Source organism: Homo sapiens, chromosome 5 (genome assembly GCF_000001405.40).
Source record: "Homo sapiens chromosome 5, GRCh38.p14 Primary Assembly".
Lineage (NCBI taxonomy): Eukaryota > Metazoa > Chordata > Mammalia > Primates > Hominidae > Homo > Homo sapiens.
In genome coordinates, this window is record NC_000005.10 from 10,963,740 (window position 1) to 10,987,584 (window position 23,845).

The 23,845-nt window shown below is 43.1% G+C and overlaps 1 protein-coding gene and 1 long non-coding RNA gene across 13 annotated transcripts in view; one reads left to right on the forward strand and one right to left on the reverse strand.

Moving 5' to 3' along the window:
* The first annotated feature begins 965 nt into the window (after positions 1-965).
* On the forward strand, positions 966-23,784 carry LOC105374654 (uncharacterized). The gene is made up of 4 exons (XR_925791.3): positions 966-1,381; positions 6,250-6,368; positions 20,444-20,543; positions 23,677-23,784. It is a non-coding gene; the product is annotated as an uncharacterized LOC105374654 (long non-coding RNA).
* Positions 8,097-23,845, reverse strand: part of CTNND2 (catenin delta 2) — a 932,611-nt gene continuing 916,862 nt past the window's right edge. For 9 of the 12 annotated variants that reach the window (XM_017009074.2, XM_017009072.2, NM_001288717.2 and 6 more), the window contains 2 exons: positions 18,034-18,107; positions 8,097-9,974 (listed from right to left, as the gene is read on the reverse strand). In XM_017009074.2, coding sequence (XP_016864563.1) covers positions 9,714-9,974; positions 18,034-18,107 — 335 coding nt within the window. In that variant the 3' untranslated portion in view covers positions 8,097-9,713. Of the gene's footprint in view, positions 9,975-18,033; positions 18,108-22,898; positions 23,003-23,845 lie in introns of all 12 variants that reach the window. The other 3 variants (NM_001288716.1, NM_001288715.1, NR_109988.2) reach the window with 2 other exon arrangements.

The following is a 23,845-nucleotide window of genomic DNA, read 5'->3' on the forward strand; positions in this document are numbered from 1 at the left end:
AAGCGATAAAGGGCCTTGCATTTTGGAGGCATTCCCATTTGGAAACAGTATTCTCAAAGCCCGACTCAGAAGAAAGACGTATCATTGCTCAGTTTCCTAGCCTGTGTGTTATTCCTTAGTTGTTTCAACAATTTGATCATCTTTCAATGATTGTTCTCATTGGTTATACATTGTGAACACATGAAGAACATAATTACTTAAGAACCTGAAATTGCTCTTAATAGTGTATTGAGGCAATAATACAATTTCAAATGCTTTCAGTTGTAAATCTGCAGCATATTTTACTGGTGGTTGAATGAATAAGATATATCAGGATGGTAACTACAGAAAGTGTCTATGGAACACTTTTCTGCTTACCAAAATTGGCATTGAGTTTTAAAAAAGTAATTATATTTTCCTAACTTTTCAGAAAAGTATGTTCTTTTTATAATAAAATGACAATATGAGTACTTAACTGGGTTTTGTGTTGAGATTGCTTCCATCGGTCCAGGCTTCTGTTACTTCCTAGGAGTGGGCAGGAAGGGTCTCTATAATGTGATCGTGAGTACTTGACCATTGCCTGTTGTGGAATATTCTTGTGATTGGTGCTTTTTAGTGCTCTTAGAAGAGAGCCAGGTTATTTCTATCTCCTGTTCTGCTCTCCTCCACTTTGGCTTTAGCCTAATTGGGCTCCTCATGGTCATAAGATGGCTGCCAGGAACAACAGTGGCTGAATGCTTCCTTCTCATTCAGCTGGAGGAAAATAAAAACTCAGGATCCAAAACCTTTTCTCCGCTCACATTTACGTTAGTTACATTATTTGTTTTTCACTTCTTCTAGCAAAACTCATCATTTTTGCCATTATTAAGAAATATTGGCTAAATGTTTGAAAGAGGAAGCTGAACCCATTGCTGCAAAATGTTACAAGCTTTGTGGTAGATTGTACCAAAAAGGCCACTGTAGTATTTCTATCCCACAGGCTCTTCCAGAATCTTGCCACTCTTCCATCAAGAAACACAGTCTGTTTCCCACCCCATCCCCTGAAACTGAGCATTATTTTGCCGCTGCATTGACTGATGGAATGCATCCCGACTTTTGCGCCTGGCTTTTTGCCTTGGGATATGGGTTTTGGGAGCTTTGAGATAATATGTAAGAAGTTTGGCTGCCCTGAAGCATCCCTGCTGGAGAGACCTGGTGGAGCGAGCTCAGAGGACGCCTGAGGAGCCACAGCTGTCCCTGTACCAGCTACTTGAGTCTTCCCAGCCCAAGTGCCAGACAGCTAAGTGATTGAGCCTTTAAGTGAGTCCAGCTTTCAGCCCCGTGCCTCCGCAGCTGACTCTGAGTGCAGCACAGCTGAGTTGTCCCAGTGGAGTACAATCCAGGTTACAAAGTCTTGAACAAAGTAAGTGTTTCTCTCTCTCTTTTTCTTTCTTTAAAGCACAACTTTTGAAGCAGTTTGTTACAGAGCAATAGAAAATCAGAATTAGTCTAGTTTAAATTCTGTACGTGTGTGATTTTCAACTCTGTCTTTGATAATTAAGAGTTGGCTGTATATTCAGGTAGTAGAAATGGGATAGTGTTTCCATTGATGACAGGTTAGCTCAGGTGTGCACATGCAGTCTTAATGTGGCCGATGGTTTGGGTGTAATTCCCACAAAGGCCAGTTTACTTTCCCCTGCTCCATGACTTAACTGTGTGGTTATCTCACAGATGTCTGCTTGCAATTATGAGGCATGAAGAATCCTTGCAGCCATTAGGAAATAGGCACCTGGCTTCTCTGCTGAGCGAGCGAGTAATGGAAGCTGTGATGAGAACTCTGAACAAAAACATAGTGTCGGTTCCATCAAGGGCCAGGCTTCTGGTAGACTGATCATATGAGAAGTGAGGATAAGTAGCCTGGAGCAGATGGGGTTGTAATGGGGTAGTAAGGATGAAAGTCTAGAAGAGAGATCAGTAATTGATGTGGCAGGTACTGGTGGTGTCGGCTGCATGGTGAACAGCAATAGACACCCAAACTCACAGAGCTAAGGATCAGACTTATTCCATGTTGCCCTGTGTGGATGTCATGGTGCTGAGTAAAGGGTGGACCCTGAAAAATTAGACTGAATTAGACTTTTTCCTCTTTATGTCCCCTTTGCTTGGCACACTCGTAATCATCTCTTGAGCAGAAAAGCCCCAGTTGAATATCCAGCTGCAAAATTTTATATTCAGCTGCATGATATCACAGCATCTTCCCCTTCCCCCCATTTTTTTTTGAGACAAAATTTTGCTCTTGTTGCCAGGCTGGAGTGCAATGGCACAATCTTGGCTCACCGCAAACTCCGCCTCCTGGGTTCAAGTGATTCTCCTGCCTCAGCCTCCCGAGTAGCTGGGATTACAGGCATGCGCCACCACGCCCCACTAATTTTGTATTTTTAGTAGAGATGGGGTTTCTCCATGTTGGTCAGGCTGGTCTCAAACTCCCGACCTCAGGTGATCTGCCTGCCTCGGCCTCCCAAAGTGCTGGGGTTACAGGTGTGAGCCACCGTGCCTGGCCCTTATTCCCCTTTGCTAAAAGAAAGCAAGGCTGAGGATACTAGTAGTGAGCAGGACAAGGAGAACAAATGTTAAAATACAATGAAGGCAATACAATACCATACAAATAGAAGGGGTTGTTTCTAAACCATTTGCACAAGCATGAATTACCTTTGCCTTGGTTTAAAAGTTTATTTTGCTGTCCTAAAATAGTTCTTCATTCCTTATGTGATTGTCCCAGCCCAGGGTCTCAGCTCAATTGCTAGCCCATTCCCAAACTTTTCACTGCCTCAGCCTCCTACCTCCCGTTCACTCACCCTCACCTGCTTCCGGAGCTACTCCCGAAAGTCCTGCGCAGTCTGCACATTGCAATGTGCAAAGGTTTGTTTTCGGCCATTTTTCTTCTTGTCATCCTCTGTGCCCACCAGTGGCATTTGCTGCTCTCTGCACGTGAAATGCTGTCCTTCCCTGGTTTGGATAAAGTACACTGGTCTCATTCTTCCCGCCTCCACCCCACCTGGCTTTCTCCTCAGTCTTCTTCTGCCTCACGCTGCTTCCCCAGGGGTTCTCATCATGCTGGGACTCTCTTTTCTCCAAATCTTCTTTTTCATGGATGCTCTGTCCACACCCACTTTCCAGCTTTTAACCTCAAAGAGACACCCAATTCCACATCTCTAGTTCAAAGTACCATTTGCACATCCCACCGCCCTCTGTAATTGCCATCAGCATGGGCAACTTCACATGTCCAAAACCAAGTGGATTTTCCTCGCTGGAAAAGTTTTTCCTCCTTGTCATGGATGAGTAGAAACTCAACTAGCAAAGCAGGCACTTGACCTTCCGTCTCTTCATCAGTTCCATCATAAGTAACTTGTCTACACCTAAAGCCTCATCAGCCACGAAGGATAAGGAAGAAATAAGACCCACCCCCAACTCCCTAAGCACACTAGGTAATAAAGAAAGTGGAGTTTTAAGTCAAGTTTGGGCCTTAGTAAGACAATGGAATTCTTGACATAAACTTCAACAATAACTACATAAAAATCACACATTTTTATGTGGTTATAATATGTGCTGGACTTCTGGTTACCTAGGCTCACACCTCAGAGGGATCTTTGGGTACCTCCATCCTTCACTGAGCAGTAGCCAAGGTCTACTAATTTTATTTCTACAGTATTTCACATTAGTTTTATTTCTCTTGACTGTCATTCTTTTAGCTCAGACGCTTATGTGTTTTTTGGATCATGGCTGTCAAACTTTAATGTTCCAAAAAATCACCTTTTGATAATGCAGATTCTGGTGTGGGACCCAATAGTCTGCATTTCTAGTGAGCTACCAGCCGATGCTGATGCTGCTAATCCCCGGACTACACTTTGAGTAACGAGGTTCTAGGTTAATTATTACAACAGCCTCAGAAGTGATTCTCCCTAAACCAGTGGTTCTCAACATATGGCCCCCAGACAAGCAACATTAACATCGCTTGGAAACATCTTGGAAATGCAAATTCTTAGCCAGTTCCAGTCCTACCCAATCAGAAACTCTCTGAATAAGCCATCCAGGTGATGTACTCCAGGTGATTCTAATGGATGCTGAAGTCTGAGACTCACTTATCTAGATCTTACCTTTACAACCATCACACACACCCACACCCCAGAATCTTTGCAACAATGTTGTAAAATTTTTTTGTAGTGTTTCTGCAATATGGCTTTCTTCTTTTTGTCTGTTTGTTTATTTATTTATTTATTTATTTAGAGACAGGATCTCACTATGTTGCTTAGGCTAATCTCCACCTCCAGGACTCAAGTGATTCTCTCACCTCAGCCTCCCCAGTAGCTGGGACTACAGGCACACGCTACCACACCTGTCACAATAGAGCTTTCAAGGGCCTCAAACTTTGTCCCTAGTGGGTTTCTCTCTCGCTCCATCCTCCTCCTACTCCTAATTTTGGAGTGAAATGTATTGCAAATTGTTCTCTGTTCATTCCCTATCCTTCCTCCATCTTCTCCTTCACTTGTTTCTTTTTCCTGAAGCACCCTCATCATTGCTCATTGGAAGCCTCTCCACTCCTTACGTTCTTGCCAAACACCATCTCTGCTGTCTCGTATTCCTCAGATCACTCAGCTAGGAGTGCATCTTTTCCCTTCCTTTAACTCAGTAGTGGTTAGCGTATCGTGCATCACACTAGAGTAGTGGTTCTCAACTGGGGCCGATTTTGCCCCCTGGGGACATTTGCTTATACCTGGAGATGGTTTTGATTGTCACAGCTGCAGATGGTGGTGCTGTAAGCATCAAGTGGGTAGAGGCCAAGGATGTTGATAAATATCCTAGAATGCATAGGAAAGCATTTCACACCACCCCCAGACAATTATTCAGCCCAAAAATCAGTAATGCACTGGCCGAGAAGCCCTGCAGTAGAGCAGTATGTTTATCTTGTATTTTCTCTGAGATTGTTGTCCTCACCACCCTGGGGTTATGTCTTTGTCATGCATGCAAGTTCCAGTACAGAGAACCAGGTGCTTCATAATGTCTTCATTTTATTGAGAAACTGAGCAATCAAATATTGTAAAGTTTAAAAATGTGTGATTTTTATGTGGTTATTGTTGAAGTTTATGTGGAGAATTCCATTGTCTTACAGGCCCAAACTTGAGTTAAAACTCCACTTTCGTTATTAATTACCTAGTGTGCTTAGGGAGTTGGGGGTGGGTCTTATTTCTTCTCTATCCTTCGTGGCTGATGAGCTTTAGGGGCAGACAAGTTACTTATGATGGAACTGATGAAGAGACGGAGGGTCAAGTGCCTGATTTGCTAGTTTGGAACTGGGTATTGCGACAGGGGCTGTATTAGAAACCTTCTGTCTGGAAAAAACATTAATGGGTCCCCTGCTTGGGTGTATTCTAGTTGTTGTTTGCAAGCAACTGGAGATCTTGGTCTCTTTGCTTTGTACAGCCAAGCATTGTCGAGGACACCCAGAAGTCTCATTCCTATGTACCTACAGGTTACAAAGCGGTATGTTGCCTTGCGATGAGGTGGTGTGCACGAGGCTCTCTTGCCCACAGGGACCTCTCCGCAGGATGGAGACCAGCACACTTTAATGTAGATTCTGATCTGAAATGCACCACAGGAAGGGAACTGGTTCTGAGAGCCGAACCAGGCTTTGGTAACTCATAAGTCCAGTTCTCTTATTAAGCACTTGGGTACAAGCTCATCTGTGTGAATCCCTTGGGGCAAACTGAACTAAGAAATTTTCTGATTTTAGAAGGTAATTTGGGTGTGCACCACAAAGTCCATAACAAGCTCAGCAGAGTCTGGGCAGGACCTGGTAGTCAAATGCACCATGTGTGAGAAACATCGGAGGAGTCTCATGAGGTCGGAGAAACAAAGACCATTCATAGCTTGGAGTTTGTTCAGGTGAGCTTTTGCTACCAAGTGCATTACAGAGTGTTTTTTTGGTTTTGGAGATTTGGGGATTTTAGAGAGACCCAGGGATACAAGGCTGCTGATAGGAAGGTCAGTTTGGTCTTGATGAGATGGTTACCCGGCATGAGTTTCTATTATAATCTCATTTCGACCACAGTGTAGAAATGAAATGTCAGATGGGGAGTGGAGCCATGGGGCCTTACAGGAAACGTTGCCATGGAAAATCCTGCAACATGTCAGCAGTCTCCGGCATGTCAGCAGCCTCCAGCCTGTGATGTGCAGATCTCTAAAGCACTCCATGGGCTCCCCTGATTGCTGGCTTATTTTTTTCTCTTTGTCACACAGAGGTTCCTTTGGTCTTGAGATAAAGGTCAGGTTTCTGTGAACCGACTGGCCGCAGCCTTTCTTCTCCTGCCGTCTGAGGTGGAGGTGAGCTGAGGCGCCTGGAGTGTTCTATTTGGTAGGTAAGAGACCCCAACAGCCTGGATGAATACTTTTGTAAACAGCATTTTGTCAGACAAGAGCCATGTTCATTTCCCTGTTGCCGTGTGAGTGAGAATACTGTATCTTCAGACAGTCAGACCTCACTTCTCGGGGGCACGGTTCTCAGAGACGAAGGGGACAGTATCAGACATTAAAAAGGAGCTGAAGAGAAACAAGACATACCAAATACACTGAGGTTTTTTGTTTGTTTTTCCTACTGAGTTTAAACACTGCTTTTTTAAACAGCAGCTTTCCATAATGCACGAGTCTCATTAATATGAAATGGGTCATCATTGGTTAACCTTCACTTAGGTTAGCTCCAAATACAATGTGACATCTTATGTCACCCTGATTCTTCTAAACCTGATATTTTATTGTCTAATGCACAACTCTTAATGAGGATCATAACATTAATGTGTGATAATAAAAAGATCTTATTGTTAAATGCTACTATTATCCATAATGGTATAATGGTATAGGGACTGTTTCTTAATCAGTCCCTGGTGACCAATACCCTCAAGAACAAAAAAAAAAGGGGGTCTGTGTTGTACATCTTATTAAGTGCATTGGGTTTTTATGGTCTACCATAGGGACTGAACAGAAAAAGAAATTTCCTCGCTTCCCCTCTTTCCTCTGAAAAACACCATTCCCATTTCTGTAGGAAAATTCAGGGTCTGGAGGCTCTTGTAGATGCAAGACACAGCCACTTGTGGGAGGGGGCCTTACTTACTTTCAGGACAATCAAAGCCAAAACAAAGGTTTCTTGTCACTTGGGGCTTTTATCCAATACATCCCATGTTACAAACAATAAATCACTGGCTGACCAACCTTCTTTGCCAAGGGAACCTGTGGGGGCTTTAGGCTATTTCATAGTTCAAGTAAGACCCCATCTATTGACTTACCTACCTCCATCTACCTATCCATCCACCATCTATCATCTATCTATAGCTATGTATTATCTGTCATCTCTCTCTCTCTCTCTCTGTCTATATCTATCCTCAATCTATTTGTATATGTGCCTAAAAAGGAAAAATGGATTGGCTTGAATAATTACAAACACTTTTAAATTTTTCCCACTATCTCTCCTTCTGATGCTGGAGGCTCCTAGCTGAGTCAGCTAATCACAGCCTGGCACAATGTGCTCTCAAAGAATTATGGGATGCAAAGACATCCTTGGTCTTCATGAGTCGCAAATGTAGGGCATGCATTAAGACTCAAAAATCATAAAGAAAATATACGGTTTCTACTAGGAGGAGGAATTCCATAGCACATTAATTCTGTGGCACAACTCCAACCAGAGAATGAGTCCTATTGCTTTCTTCTGGAAAGGTTAAGCCAGCCCTTATGTTATAGGGAAGTCATGTCCATATCACATTCTCTTTACTGTTGCATTGTATGATACAGATGAAGTGGAAACCCTGTCTTCAATGTGCCATGTTTCTCTCTCTCTAGAGGGTCTGAAGCATTCCTGTGAGGGAATCCAGAAATGTGGAGTCCTGTATGTCCAACTAGTACATAATTCACACATACATTTCTGTCTACTGCTCTATTCTGAAAGTTAACTTTTCATTTCCAAAACTATGCGTGAATTGACTATCATCATTTGATTGTTGTTAAATTTGGAGAAAGAACCATTTACTTGAGACTTGGAGCTGAATTAAACTATGTAGCGTGAAGGGAAGCCAGTTTTAAAGGACGATGGCAGCCAATTTCTTTTGTTACTGATGTTTTTATTTTTTCCAAGAACAGTTAACATTTACTAGGCACCTATTGGCCTCAGCCACTTGCATCTAAAGAGCAAAGCTAGTTTACCCGCGGCCCATGTTCTTTTCGATGGTTAGCCTTATTTCTTAGCTCTGTTAACCACTATTCTAACGTTAGCTTCAAGTTCAGTTTTAATAATCTATTCCATAGTTGTGTACTGCTCCCTGCCACATGAACAAAAAGTTTGGGGGAATAAGGCGAGCAGTTTACATTTTCTGTGGATACTTCAAGTAATTGGCCCCAAAGTGAAACTGAATTGGCCATGGTTTATCGTGTTCTGAGGGGATAAAATGTGTAAGGAAACGGACCTGTAGAGAGGGTTGATATCCAAGTATGCGTGAATGTGTGAAAATCCTATAACTCCACTTCAACTGGCCTAATATCCTGAGTCACTAGATGGTCAGAAGAATAGATACAGTACAAAAGGAACAAACTGATGTACATTTATACTAAAAAACCAAAAACAAAGTTTGTACAAGATGAACAGCAAATGAAATAGCTTCTGTCAAAATAAAATCTCACACAGGTAATTTTTCTAGTACGTGGACATACATACACCCACACACACAGACACACAAGCAAGAATGTGTATTTTGTAAGATATAGGTTCTTGGAAATAGACATTCTTAGCAAATATGGATGACAGATCAATTGTAATTTATTTTCTTTTAACACTGTATCATCATAAAGAAAACTGGTATAAATGAAAAAATCTATTTCAAATATCTACATCTAAAATTTTAGGCAGTGAAAAAGCACTTTGTTGACAAGGAGTGTGGAATGATGTATGTTAATTGTCAGAAACTGCTGAATGCCTTGTTTAGTTGTCACAAACAAATTCACATATCAGAACGAACAATACTGCTAAATATTCCTTTTTTCCTGCTTTTTTTTTTTTTTGTTAAAACATACTGGGAGAAAGTAAAGAAAAACTGGAAATCCATACATCTTTCAAAAGTTTGAAATTGAAGCAATATTTAGAACCATAGATGAGGAAACACGGCGGCATTGGTGTAATATACACAACGCGCTTTTCTTCTTTAATCTGTAATGTACATCAAATACTTTACAACAATGCATTAACAAAAGGCAAGAAACATCTTGCTGTACAGAGGAACCCCAATGCAACCTGAAGCCTAGAGTCACAACGGATGAAGAGAGTAAACAAAGCGTGAGAAGCCGTCCCCCACACAGTGTGTAAACTATTCTGTGTCTTGTGCTTAACGATAACCCTTACGCCCCACCGGCCCGAATGCCTCGTCTCTCCTCCCATCAACCACGTTCAGTATAAAGCACTTCTCGTTACTCTACAGCTCACGCTAGAAAGGTGCTGCCCACTGTCATATTTAGGATCACTTTAGCTTTCTACTGATTTCCAAGTTAACTTGCGATTCATTTAGCTTTCTAAAATAGCTCTTAATATTTCCTTACTGGTTATCACAGCCTTCCTATGGAACAGGCTTTAACAAACTAAATTTGCAGGAGAAAAAAACAAAACAGAAAGAAATGTCTTGTGGTATGCATGCACATGCACTGTTCCCGGAGCGCCTGTGCCCTGCTCCTCACACCCAGGAGTCGGGGGAGGCCGGGTAGTGGCTCGTTTCATAGTTCAGTTCACTGTAGGGACGGGCAGCTGAGTAGAAGTCAACGTAGTTGCCGGTGGACTTGAGACCCAGGTGCATGGTGTACTCGCTGGCGGGAGGGCGATGGTGGACCTGGTCCTCGAAGAAGGACTCATCGTAATTTCTTGTGGAATTCTGAAATGGCTGGTAGGTCTCGTAATCTTTTCTGCTGGGCTCCTGTGGGACTGGCTGTGCTGAAACCTAAACGGGAAAGAAGAGCCACACTGGGTTACTTGGTTTCCCTTGACTCAGCCTGCCTCTTGCCCCGGCACCCAACTCTCCTTCAAAGAATAGGCTGTGTATATCCAGGCATTCACCACTGTGGCCCTGCTTCTCCAAAACTGCCAACTGTCATTGGCTTTCCTTTTGAAAATTGGATCCTAGGTCCACGTGCTATCATTCTACATAATCTTTATCATGGCAAAATATACATAACATAAAACAGCTTGCTTTAAGAAATGTTGAAGTGTAAGATTAATTAGGTGGCATTAAGAACATTCACAGTGTTGTGCAACCATCACCACCATCCGTTTCCACCACTTTTTAAATCATCCCAAACAGAAACTCTGTGCCCATTAAATGTAATTCCTCATCCCCTCTCTCTCAGCCCATGGCAAGCACCATTCTACTTTCTGTCTCTAGAAATCTGCCTAATATAGGCACTGCAGAGAGTGTTTGTCCTTGTGTGACTGGCTTCTTTCACTTAGCATAAAGTTTGCATGGTCCATCCATGGTGTTGCACATGGCAGACCTTGATCCGTTTTTGTGGCTGAATAATATTCCACTGTATGATGTGCATTGCTCCACTGATGAATGCACTGAAGGCCATGACTTTACCTCAATGTAGCAAAACTGCACTTGCACCCCCATGATTGTATATATATAAGAATAAAATAGTCCATGGTATGCATAGACCACATTTTATTTATCCATTCATCCATTGATGGACGCTTGGGTTATTTTTACCTTTTAGCTGCTGTAAATAATGTTGCAATAAACATTGGTGCATTTGTATCTGTTCTAGTCCCTGGGGTCCCTTTTCAAGCACCTGCCCCTGAAATGAGCAGAACCTCCCAAGGTATAGGGTGAGGTTAACCCTACAGCAAGTGCATACCGGGATGCACAAAGCTCTGCTAATGTGCAGTAATTGGGGAGGAGATCTGGTGTGAATTATTAAACACTCTTAAAGAAATACTGTTTGATCACTTTTGGGTGGACTCAGTGACTCCCTATTAATTTAACTAAAGTTCAGCACGGAAACGTTCTCTAGAAATTGGTCTTAGTTAATAGATAATGATTTGTAATTAGCACGTTGTGTGTAAATGAATGCTTTTAAAGGCTTACACATAATTCTTCTCTCAAGTAAGTGAAACTCCCTCTTATATATGTCATTGATTTATACTAGTAATCAACCTGATCTTCAAAGAAGTGGTGAACTTCATCACAGCAGCTGTCTAGGATGTCCCACGTGTCTAGTTAGTGGTAGCTGAATGAATGAGGTTTCTGTCTACCTACAGAAGTCCAAAAGTCCATAGAGGATAAACCTTTGTTAGCCTGAGAGCTAACAAAGGATGAGAGGAACATTTGGAATGAATGTGCAACATCTGCAATTAAATACTGCTAAGTCCAGGTCTACTGGACTGCGTTGCTAGGTTGGGGTGCCCTTTGCTATTCTTTGAAGAGCTCTGCTTGTGTGCTGCTGAACTCCACTCCAACACAGGGCTGTTTTCCAAGTGCAAGACATGCAAAGGCTCAGAATCTAGAAGTTTGGAAAAATTATACAGGGAGGGAACTAGATTTGCTGTGTTTCTTGTTCAGCAGGGCACCCTATTCAACATTTAGCAAATTCTTTAATACTCCAGTAGTCATAAATATTTATGTGTGTTTGTGTCTGTCTACATCAATATCTATAATCTATCATCTGTCTGTCTTCCTATCCACCCACCAATCCATCCATCCATCCATCCCTCAAGCAAACTCCCACCTTATAGATGAGAAAACTGAAGCACAGAGAAGTTAAGAAACTTCTCCAAAACGTCATAGCTAGTGGTGTTGTGAACTGGAACTGGAACATACGGCTGGCTGACTCTAAAACCCAGGTGTTCTACCAACGTAGTCCAGTCCCATCAGAGCCAAGGTGGCCAAACCTTGGAGGACAGGCCTCAAGGAGCTGACTCTAGGCTCTAAGATAAGAAAGTCGGTGGACAAAAGAGACCAAGAAGCGGTGTGTTTTCTTATGGATTTTTGGGGGCCAGGGAAGGCAGTGCAGGGGACAGGGACATCTTCAGGAGGAGTCACTCACAAGGGTTATAGCTCTCCTCCAAAGTGGCTTCTGCTTTCATTTTTTTGGTTCTTTTGCACAACCTCGTTCAAATTGCTTTGACTGTTGTCATGTTCTCTCTGGTTGGTGAACATTTGGGAGCTGGGTATCAGCTTTTTCAGCCTCTTACCCCAGAGAATTAACTTCTTCATTCATCTGTACTGTTCATAAAATCCCACACCAATCACTTCTGAGGTTTGGTGCCCCAGTCCCAAAAGTGTGTACAAATGAACTGTCACAGGTGACACGTGTCACTGCTGCACCCGGAGAGACAGAATTTGCTCACTGTGGTATTTGCTCTTGTGGTATGGACATTTCTGTGGTATTTGCTCTTGTGGTATCTTGTGGTATTTGCTCTTGTGGTATGGACGTCTTGTGGTATTTGCTCTTGTGGTATGGACGTTTGCTGGTGAAACACATCCACAGTGGAGGAATATTGGCTGCATTTTAAACTTTAAGGGAATATCTGACAGTTGAAAATCTGGCTGATGAAATGACCCCTCCCAAAGCCCTCCTCACATAAGAGCTAAAAATAAATGCATTAAAAATTGCACAGTTTGCATCAGCCAGATTTGGATGAGGGATGTAGAATGATGCCCCAATAGAGCAGAGGGGATTTCTGAATCTGGGTGTCTGTTACGGTCTAGAGAAGCCCAGGAATACGCAAGCCCGAAGCTTTTGCCTTCTTTGCCTTAACGCTGCATCTTGTTTTGGAAAGGGGTGGTGACCAGCAGCTCACTCCAGGGTCAATATGCTCACGCTCTCTGCGCTCTGTTCCATGGCTTCTGTTTCTACCAAGTCATCTTTGCTGAACTTTTTCCTCAACAGTAGAATATTCACTCTAAATTATGAAGGATAGTGTCATGACACCTTCCAACTCTGTTAGCATAATGACAAAAGACTTCTTTGGGTTTATTCCTTAATGAATTTGCCAGGAAACTGGATTTATTTTGAACACAAGGGAAATAGTAGCCCAGTATAGCTCTTCCAACTTTTCCATGTCTCAGAGTGTTCATAGAAAGACTCAGAGTGTTCACAGAAAATGAAGGAGGCCAGATATGAAGTATCAGTGGTCTTCAAAGCATAATCCCAAGACCAGCAGCATCAGCATCACCTGGGAACTTGTTAGAAATGCAGATTACTGGGTCCCACTCCAGACCTACTGAATCAGGGCCTCTGGCGATGGGCCCCAGCAATCTGTGCTTTAACAGCCCTTTGGGGAATTCTGGCTCATGCTCCAATTTGAGAACCATTGGCACAGAGGTAAAAAAAATGGGACAGGAAGACAGAAGAACCAAGATGAGTATTTGCCTCTTCCTGGCTGGGGGACTGAAGGAAACACGTATCCTCCTGGGATCTCATCTTCCTCATTTCTGCAGACAATTACAACTGGCCTGCTCACGTGACAGTGGAACTAAGGACACCAGGAAGGAACTCAAGATTCCGGTTTTGTTATCATTTAAATATTGGTCATCAAAACAGCAAAGCTCTTTGTTTCTAGTTCCTGAACAAAAATCCTGTTGTCAGCTAGATAGATACCGTTCAACATGATATTTCTCTTTGTAATTATGGGGTGGACTGGTAGAAGCTCAAAAGGATGTTTGGAAAGTATGCATAGTTAAGTCTTTTTTTTTTTTTGAGACAGGGTCTCGCTTTGTCACTCAGGCTGGAGTGCAGTAGTGCAATTATGGCTCACTGTAGCCTCCACCTTCCAGGTTCAAGCCTTCCTCCTGCCTCAGCATCCCAGCTAGCTGGGACTACAGGCACACACCACCATGCCCAGCTAATTTTTGTATTTTTTGTAGACACACAGTTTTGCTATGTTGCCCAAGCTGGTCTTGAACTCCTGAGCTCAAGCGATCTGCCTGCCTCGGCCTCCCAAAATGCTAGGATTACAGGCATTAGCCACTGCACCTAGTCAGTTAAGTCTTAAAGTGATGTCTGTAACCCGTTGACCTCAGACATTCAAACCAAAGATCACGAACTGTGTTTTATACTACTGATTGTTTCTTCTAGGAGGCTTTAAGCTCAGAGTTCACTGAAAATGTGCCTGAGTCCCAGGTCACAGGAGCAGCACCCACGTGTGGCCATGTGTCTGGTGCAGGCGTCTCTTTCTCAGCTCTCACTGTCTTTTGCCTTATCTTGGAGATCCACTTGAAACTGATTTCCCTCCATGAATTGCTTCCCCATAAGCTCAGTCACTACCCAGTGTGAAGCCTGTGAGACCTGGCTGGTGACTGAGCCACCCGGGAGACAGGAGCGCTCAGCAGAGGACAAGCTTCGATGCTGAAACTGACCAAACCCTGGAGGATCCCTCCTGGTGAAACTGTTCCAGGCGCAAAGTTCTGGGGTAACTTTTGGCCCAGGGAAGCTCCCAACATGAAAGCATTCCACCTAGAATGGTTGGTTACACCTCTATGGCCAGAGAATCCAAGTCAGGGATACTGTTTATGAGTCCTCTCTAGGACTCCCAACCGGAAGAGAGTGAAAACATGTCTTTTGAAGGGTTAGGATGGTTGCACTTTATTGAGTCCCCAAAGAGAAAACTGCAAGTGAAGACAAGGTTTATTCCTATAACATAGTCTAAAAGAAGTAAAATGCTTTCTTTCCTTCCTCTCCAAGTTCAATGGAGTGTCATTATGATCTCCTTGGAAATACTTTTTGGGGAGGGGGGGGAACCCTCTCTTTGGTGGACGTTTAAAAATGGATGTTAGGCTAAGATAGAATGATCCAATTATCCACTTCCCTTGGCTGGTCCCTTACAGGGAATGATGGTGGTCCTGAGCTATGAAGATAGGACTCAGCTCTGCCGGGGGCTTGCCTGCAATGCCTCGGTCCTGACGAGAGATGCGGAGCTTGCTCTCCATCCAGGGTGGATTTTAGCAACATTTGCCTGAGGCCCAGTGGCCTTGGTGTTTCACTCTGAGACTGAGTCAAGCACATTCTGGAGACCTCTGGGAGAAAGGCTATGGCTAGGTGGTGTTCACACTCATGGCAAGGATGCCATCTTAGCACATTAATTCTCATTTGCTTAAATGCTCGGGATCTGCTTACGTAAAAAGAAGGTGCCCCTTAGAGCCATTATAGACTGTCCTCTAAATCTAGATGGCAAGCAGTCTTTTGGAACCTACTGCAGCCACTCTGTGAGATGCCAGAGACCCCTGGCCATGTCAGGGCGTTTCTTCAATGCCAACTCCCGGGGAAGGAAGGCTGGTGCAGAGGGAGCTGGTTCCAATGAGGAGCTTCTCTCTACCTGAGGGGACTCAAGATGAATCTCACACTCTTGGCGGCAAAATCATGGTCCTATTACAACCTGACAAGAATCTGTAATAATTGGCAATAATCTGCTTACTGTACATCCAGAATTTCATAATATTTGCTGCAAGAAGCATGATTGATTTCCATAAATGAAGTTGGCATTTCTAATACATTTTGTTTCTGTTTGCCTTTATGGAGGCAGGTTGGCAAGTGAATAGTTGGGGCCTCCCTGGTGACCTGGTGTCTACAGCTCATGACCCTATTTATTTAGTCATTGGCTTCTTTGCTTTTAGCAAATACTAGAACTGAGGGGAGGCTGATTAGATGTTAGCAACACATCAAATAGGCCATGGGGGCCAAGCCATTCACCAGGGGGTCACAGACAACACCATATGTTTTCCAGAGTGCTGCACATGGAGTGGGCTGATGCCCACCATGGGAAGGAGAGATGTATGAAGTTTCTGATCAACGAGGGGGAACAACTGTGTCTTTTGGCTTTTATAGTTCCTGCAGAGCCAGAGAAAATGAGCCTTCAATAAATGTTTGCAGAGTAACACACACATATACTCTCTCTCTCTCTCTCAGATTGGTTCCTTAAGAATCTACTGTTCAGATATATAGACTAAAGGAATAGAACAGAGGCCTTAGAAATAACACCACACATCTACAACCATCTGATCTTTGACAAACCTGACACAAACAAGCAATGGGGAAAAGATTCCCTATTTAATAAATGTTGTTGGGAAAACTAGCTAGCCATATGCAGAAAACTGAAACTGGACCCCTTCCTTACACCTTATACAAAAATCAACTCAAGATGTATCAAAGACTTAAACATACGACCCAGGACCATAGGAATCATAGAAGAAAACCTGGGCAATACCATTCAGGATGTAGGCATGGGCAAAGACTTCATGTCCAAAACTCCAAAAGCAATGGCAACAAAAGTCAAAATCGACAAATGGGATCTAATTAAATTAAGAGCTCCTGCACGGCAAAAGAAACTATCATCAGAGTGAACAGGCAACTATAGAATGGGAGAAATTTTTTGCAATCTATCCATCTGACGAAGGGCTAATATCCAGAATCTATAAAGAACTTAAACAAATTTACAAGAAAAAAAAAACCCATCAAAAAGTGAGCAAAGGATATGAACAGACACTTCTCAAAAGAAGACTTTTATGCAGCCAACAGACATATGAAAAAATGCTCTTCATCACTGGCCATCAGAGAAATGCAAATCAAAACCACAATGAGATACCATCTCACACCAGTCAGAATGGCGATCATTAAAAAGTCAGGAAACGAGATGCTGGAGAGGATGTGGAGAAATAGGAACGCTTTTACACTGTTGGTGGGAGTGTAAATTAGTTCAACCATTGTGGAAGACAGTGTGGCGATTCCTCAAGGATTTAGAACCAGAAATACCATTTGACCCAGTGATCCCATTACTGGGTATATACCCAAAGGGTTATAAATCATTCTACTATAAAGACACATGTACACGTACATTTATTGTGGCACTCTATTCACAATAGCAAGCACTTGGAACCAACCCAAATGTCCATCAATGATAGACTGGATAAAGAAAATGTGGCACATATATACCATGGAATACTATGCAGCCATAAAAAAAGGATGAGTTCATGTCCTTTGCAGGGACATGGATGAAGCTGGAAACATCATTCTCAGGAAACTATCACAAGAACAGAAAACCAAACACTGCATGTTCTCACTCATAAGTGGGAGTTGAACAATGAGAACACATGGACATAGGGGAACATCACACACTGGGGCCTGCTGGGGGTCAGGGGCTAGGGGAGGGATAACATTAGGAGAAATACCTAATTTGGATGTCGGGTTGATGGGTGCAGAAAACCACCGTGGCACGTGTATACCTATGTACCAAAACTGCACATTCTGCACATGTACCCCAGAACTTAAAGTATAATAATAAAAATAAAATAATAATAATAATAAAAAGAATCTACTGTTCAGTTCTCCTCAAACCTGAATGTGCACACAAGCGCATCTAATTAGAATGCAACTGTGCTGCAGAAAATCTTGGACGGGTTAGGGTTAGGAGCCAGAGAAGAATCTCTCCTGTGTTTCTAACAAGATTCTGGGTAACATTGATGCTGCTGGTTCCCCAACTAGACTTTGAGTAGCAAGACACTACAATGCATTTCATGTATTGCAGAATAATAGAACTTATTTATGTGTTCTTTTACAAGTTCTCTATTGAACTTGCTGTGTCTCCTTTATTGGTAGTGATCATGTATAATGAATGCTTCCTTCCTAATGCATTTGCAGGGTTACAGGAGCTACTCCATCTCTGTCCAGTAATTAGACAATTCCTGTTTAGTGACATCTTACAGTTGTCTATTTGGGGGTTTCTTTTAGTTTTGCACCATAGCAGAATACTTGCTTTCTGCACCAGATCAAGCATGAGGTTCAAAGGCCGTTTGCACATTTGAGGCTGTTCTGCCGAGTCCAACACACACACACACACACACAGAGACACACACACGCTGCAACAGGCGTGAGGAGAGGGCCTCAGGGGACGTTGCCTTCTTTTTCAGTTCTTTATGTATGTTGGATGAAAGTTTATGTTTAAAATTCCAGGTTATTTCACATGAGTCACACTGAAAAGGAAATACAAACGTGTTGCATTTACTTTACCTGGTTGTGTTTGATGTCTTCAGCGGGCGCACCATAAGAATTCCTATACAAAGTTGAAATTCCAGTGTTTTGAGCTAAAAGCAAAAGGAAAACAAAAGTTTAGCAAAGAAAACAACATTACAAATAAGGAATAGTTGTTATTGAAGCAAGTTCTTGCCCTAACAAAGCTTGTTTTCTTGGGGACCATTCCAAGTAGAAGACATTCTTTGGCCCTGAACACTTCATTTTACATACAGATATTAAAAAAGGAGAACAGTTATTCTAGAAAATCCCCACAGCATGTCAGCCGCTTGCAATAATGTTCACATCACAGACAGGGTCAGGGCAGATGCTGCAAACAGATGGTCATTTTGTAAGTTTTATGGCCTTCTTTTCTGGTGAAAACTGGCAGGTAATAAAGGCTTGTCACCTGCACTGAAGCATGCAGGAGTCTGTATCAGCAGCTTAGCTTTTAGCCGGAGAGTGACAAGAATAAAATTTCTAATTTGAGCTCACAGAAGTGCTTGATCATCTTTCAGACAGTTCATTTCTTACAGACCCAAAGGACGGGCAGGGGGCATCGCCTGCATGTCCCCCATGTATCTGGAAGCCTGCGGCTTTGGAATCAAACTAGATGCAGAGGGAGGATCCCACTCTGTTGTCTGGCTTGCCTGTCGTCTAGACGAAAGAGATGAAGGTCTCCTCTAGTTGCCAGCAGCTTCTGAAGGCCCAGAGAGGGGGCCTATTAGCCCACTTCCTTATGGGAAACCCTTGAAGCTCAAGCCACCCACTCAGAGGAAGGGCACAGGCCACCACTCCCTTCACAGCTGCTGAAGGGTCATGGTTCAAGAAATCTTTGGTAGAATGACCATATCACCTAGCAATCCCACTGCTGGGTGTATATTAGAAAGAAAGGAAATCAGTGTATCAAAAGATATCTGCATTCCCATGTTTATTGCAGTGCTGTTGACAATAGCCTAGATGTGGAATCAACCCAAGTGTCCACCAACAGATGAATGGTTAAAGAAAATGTGGTATATGTACACAATAGAGTACTGTTTGGCCATAAAAAGAATGAAATCCTGTCACTTGCAGCAACGTGGTGGAACTGGAGGTGATTTATGTTAAGTGAAACAAGCCAGGCACAGAAAGACAAATATGGTATGTTCTCACGCACATGTGGAATATGCGGAAGCTAAAAAAAATTGATCTATGAAGATGGACAGTAGAATGATGGTTATCAGAGACTGAGAAGTGGAGTTGGGAGAGAGGAATAAGAGGGGATGGTTAATGGGTAGAAAAATACAGTTAGAAGAGAAAAGATCTAGTGTTTCATAGCACCATAGGGCAACCATAATTCACAGTAATTTATTGTATATTTCAGAACAACTAGAATAATGGAATTGGGATGTTCCTAACATAAATAATAAATGTTTAAGGTGATGGTATCTCATTACCCTTATTTGATTGTTATACACTGTATACTTGTATCAAAAAATCACATGGACCCCATAAGTAAGTACAACTATTATGTATTCATAAATTTTTTTTTAAAAAAGCTTTGGAAAATGCTGTCTTGTGTCAGTGGGGTATAAAACACTCTAAAACTAGGAAGGGCTCATTGTTTGCTTCCAGTATTTAGGGGATAATGAAGTAGGATCACTCTACCTATAGGCCACAAGAGAAAGGTCAGTATAACCTCTCAAGGTCTAAGTTCACTCCACCCATGATTTTTTACCTAAGAGTTCACTACAGCTGTGCAATAAAATTCCTCCTGGAGAATTCAGCTTAGAAAGTGAGAGCCGAAAGTCCATTTTTCCATTTTAAAGACCATTCTGTTATCCTCTCTGGTTGAATGCATGTCACTCCTGTCTCTGTATTATGGTGCAAACCACCATCTCTCTCTGGACCATTGCTACCAAATCCTCCTCGAAGGCCCAACTTCCACTCTGCCCAGCCTGATTCCTCCATCCACCCTGTTACCAACAGTTAGAATGCTGTCTTTGTAACACAAGTTGGGTTCTGTCTCTTTCTCTGCTTGTAATGCTCCAATGCCCTTCACCCTGAGACGGCTCTCCACTATGGCCATGAGGCCCTGCAAGGTTTGTTTCCTGCCTAAAATCCTAACACATTTCTCCCTCCTCTCCTCCTGTTAAAGGAGTCCCAGCTTTGCCGACCCTCCTTCCTCAGAGCGGGCCAAACTTGTTTAGCTTCGGTGAGGTTGTCTTTGCTGATCTTTCTCCCTGGAACTCGCTTCCCTCAGACTTCAAATGTCTCCTCCTCCCACGTCAAGTGAAGTAACCCCTTCCGCCTGCACCCCCATCTCATTACCCTGATCAGTTTCTTCTTCCTACTAAACACAGTGCAGTATCATCTTGCTGGGAACTTGTTATACTGTTTACCTTATGTACTGTCTGCCTTCCTCTTCCAGAGCAGAAGGCCCTTGAGAGAGAAACAGTCTGTCCTGCTGCTACCTCCGTATGTATCCTCAGAACCTGGCACAGCACCTGGCCTCAGTGGACACCCATAGAGTAAGTGCCCCATTTGCTGAATGAATAAATGGGTAAACCTTAGATAGATCTGCCTTCAGAGCTATAATTTGCTGATAGAAAATGTCACTTGAGGAATAAGGTGAAATTTTGTTTTTTCTGTTGCTCAGAATTAAATGCATATATTTTTTAGAACGTTTGCACTATTGCAGTCTTGGCCTCCCTCCCTGTTGTGAAATCATAAACAGACACTGAGACGCTCTCACCAGAGGAATCTTAAAAGCACGAGGCACAGTTTGTGGCTTCTGAGCCTAGGATGTTAATACTGGAAGTTCTTTCCCCTCACTCGTTTAAACGAGACCATAGCTGAGACTGAATTACCTTTACAGACACGTGAGGCAGAGGAATTCACAGAGGCTCTGCCCTCATATGACCGAGCTAATAGTGGACTCACAGAAGAATGCCTTTCTATTTTTCTAACAGCCCCCAAATACCCAATTCCCAACTGAATCAACACATTGAAGACTAGAACGACTTTCAAAGGCATAAGAGGCCGGGTGTGGTGGCTCATGCCTGTAATCCCAGCAGTTTGAGAGGATGAGGCGGGAAGATCACTTGATGTCAGGAGTTCAAGACCAGCCTGGCCAACATGGTTAAACCCTGTCTCTACTAAAAATATAAAAATTAGCCGGGCATGGTGGCAGGTGCCTGTAATCCCAGCTACTCGAAACGCTGAGGCAGGAGAATTGCTTGAACCCGGGAGGTGGAGGTTACAGTGAGCTGAGATTGCGCCACTGCACTCCAGCCTGGGCGACACAGTGAAACTCCGTCTCAAAAATAAATAAATAAATAAATAAATAAATAAATAAATACATAAATAAATGGCATAAGAAAGACACTGACAAAAAACAAACAGACCATTGGATGAAAGGGTATGTGGGAAGTTCAGATGGGAAGGGAAAACCTCCAGGTGAATTTAAAACTCAGGCAGTGGAGCTGCTGGGATGCTGCAGCCCTTTCTTGAGGTGAACTGAACACGTGAGGTTCCCAGGCATGCAGGGCTGCAAGAACTCGCTATGGAAGCCGGCATGCCTGAATGAATAGCCAACTGGATTTCTCAGGGCTCTCCAGTGGCAGAGAAACACTTAGGAGAGAAGAATTTTATGAGGCTTCATCCAAGCTAGAAAATGAATCCAGAAAAGGAGGGTGGGGGAAGCCTGGAATAAACACCTAGATGGATCTGAACTTCTAAGAGCTCAGCAGAAGAGATGACAGCTCCATCAAAGAGATGTTTGCACTTCCAGCCCTCATAGGCTGCATTTTGGGGATGAAGCTTCCCTTGTGGTTTTCATATCAGAGGGAATGTTTTCTTGGCAGGGAATGAAACAAGGAAGATGGCAGTTTTTCAGGTTATCTTTCAATGCACTGAACTTTAAATGTTCCGTAGATTTGTTCTTGAACAAGAAAAAGCATTGCTTTTGATGTTGGGGCCACAAGAAATCTGATTTTGCAAGTAAACCCTGGAATGATGGGCATTTGCTAACATCCTGCAAGGTGGGGGTTGTAAACTCAATATCCCCATCAATATGTGAAAGACTGGCTTCCACCTGGCTTGGCTGGGGACTTATTCATACCACTACTGAAAGTGGCAAACCACCACTATCCTCACTTCTGCTATCCCACCATCACCTCCATCACCCTCACTACCACCACCACCACCATCATTGTTGTGATAATAACAATCGGCGTTTACATAGCACCCATTGGCTTTAGAGGAACTTCCCTATATACACATAATATTCAATAAAGATCTCAATGTTCTTTCTGGCTTGCTACATGATTGAGAGTGTACTCCTGAATTGCATTTTTAAGTAAGTTAGAGCAAAGCTGTTTAAGCCTCTAAATAAGTTTGAAGAATTACATACACTGAAATTGTCAAGATCCCTGCCATTTTCTAAGAAGATTAAATATCAGAAACATAGTAAATTTTATGTTTTATTTTATTTTGAGTCCAGGGCACAATTATGTGCCATTGGAACTGTTTTGACATAAACACGCACACCCACACCTGAAGGCCTTTTGAATGATTCTCTTGGGCAAGAGAGTTAAAGAGAAACATGAAACTGAATAATAATGCAGTCGATCTCACAACTGTTCCTTAATCTCAGTGTATCATCCCAGACAGCTGGTGATGTGGCTACCCAGGGCAATGATAACTGCACATTGAAAGGGTCAGTTGAATTTGGTGTCATGACTAGCTCAGCATAATCAGTACAAATGGGATCCTCTGCCGAATGTCTAGACTCCAGGGACTCAGAATTCAGATTCACAGCTTTCTTTGTTCCTGTTCATCTACGCGGCAACATGTAAGGGGAAACAGTGAATGTGAATAGTAACCTAGAGTCCATGTAATGAGTTAGGTTCTCCCGTTCAGGAAACGTCTCAGGAGCAGCGCTGAGGTGTTCCCTTGTAGGGTCTGCACATGGAGGCAGAATGTGCTCCTGGGGGCAGGGATAAGAAACATCCGTTTATTATAGTTTTCTTTACGCAGCTGAGCAGAGTTAACACGGAAAACACTGCCGCTGGGGTAAATGCATTTGCTATTAGAAAAATTTATCTTCGCTGTCCTGGTTTGGAAGGCATTTTAATAAATCATCCAATTTGTCTGCTCTGCTTCCCTGCCAGTCTACACCTAAATACTACTGGAGAACTGCCTCCTGCTCTTCAGATTCCTCTCCTAAGAGGGTCTCAGTGTCTGCACGGCGCCCTTTGCGCCCCAGCTTTATGAATGCTCTAACATGGCCTTGTTCTATTAAAGGCTCTTCCTCATAGCCTATTTTCAGCAGGGACCCATCTCCATGCCCATGTGGTAAAGAGGATGTGGGGTCCCCGTTGAAAGGTCCTCAGGGCTCCGGCAGCTTTGCTTTTAAGGTATAACTCCCTCTACAGCCAGAGCCCACATCCTGCTTCTTGGAGGAGGGCCATCCAGGGAGAGGGTGAGGTATGGAGAGCTTGGAGGGGGCTGTGAGTGCCTCAACAGAAGCATATACAGAGTGTACAAGACGTACAGACTATACAGTGACTTAAGGGTAAGCCCTGTTATCAGATGGGCTGGGCATGGCACAGTGGAGGGGGCAGAGACAGATACCCACTGTACCAATTCTGGCCTCCATAGAGTCTTGGCTGATGAGAAAGGAAGGCAATGGCTGTGACTGAGATCGTGAGGGATGACGAGCGTGAAAGATGAATGCCTCCCCAGGGAATCTGCAGTCATCAGCTCTAAGGAAGCTTCTTTGGGATATGTCACGTAAGAGGTTGTATCATGGCAAGAGGGGAAAATATCT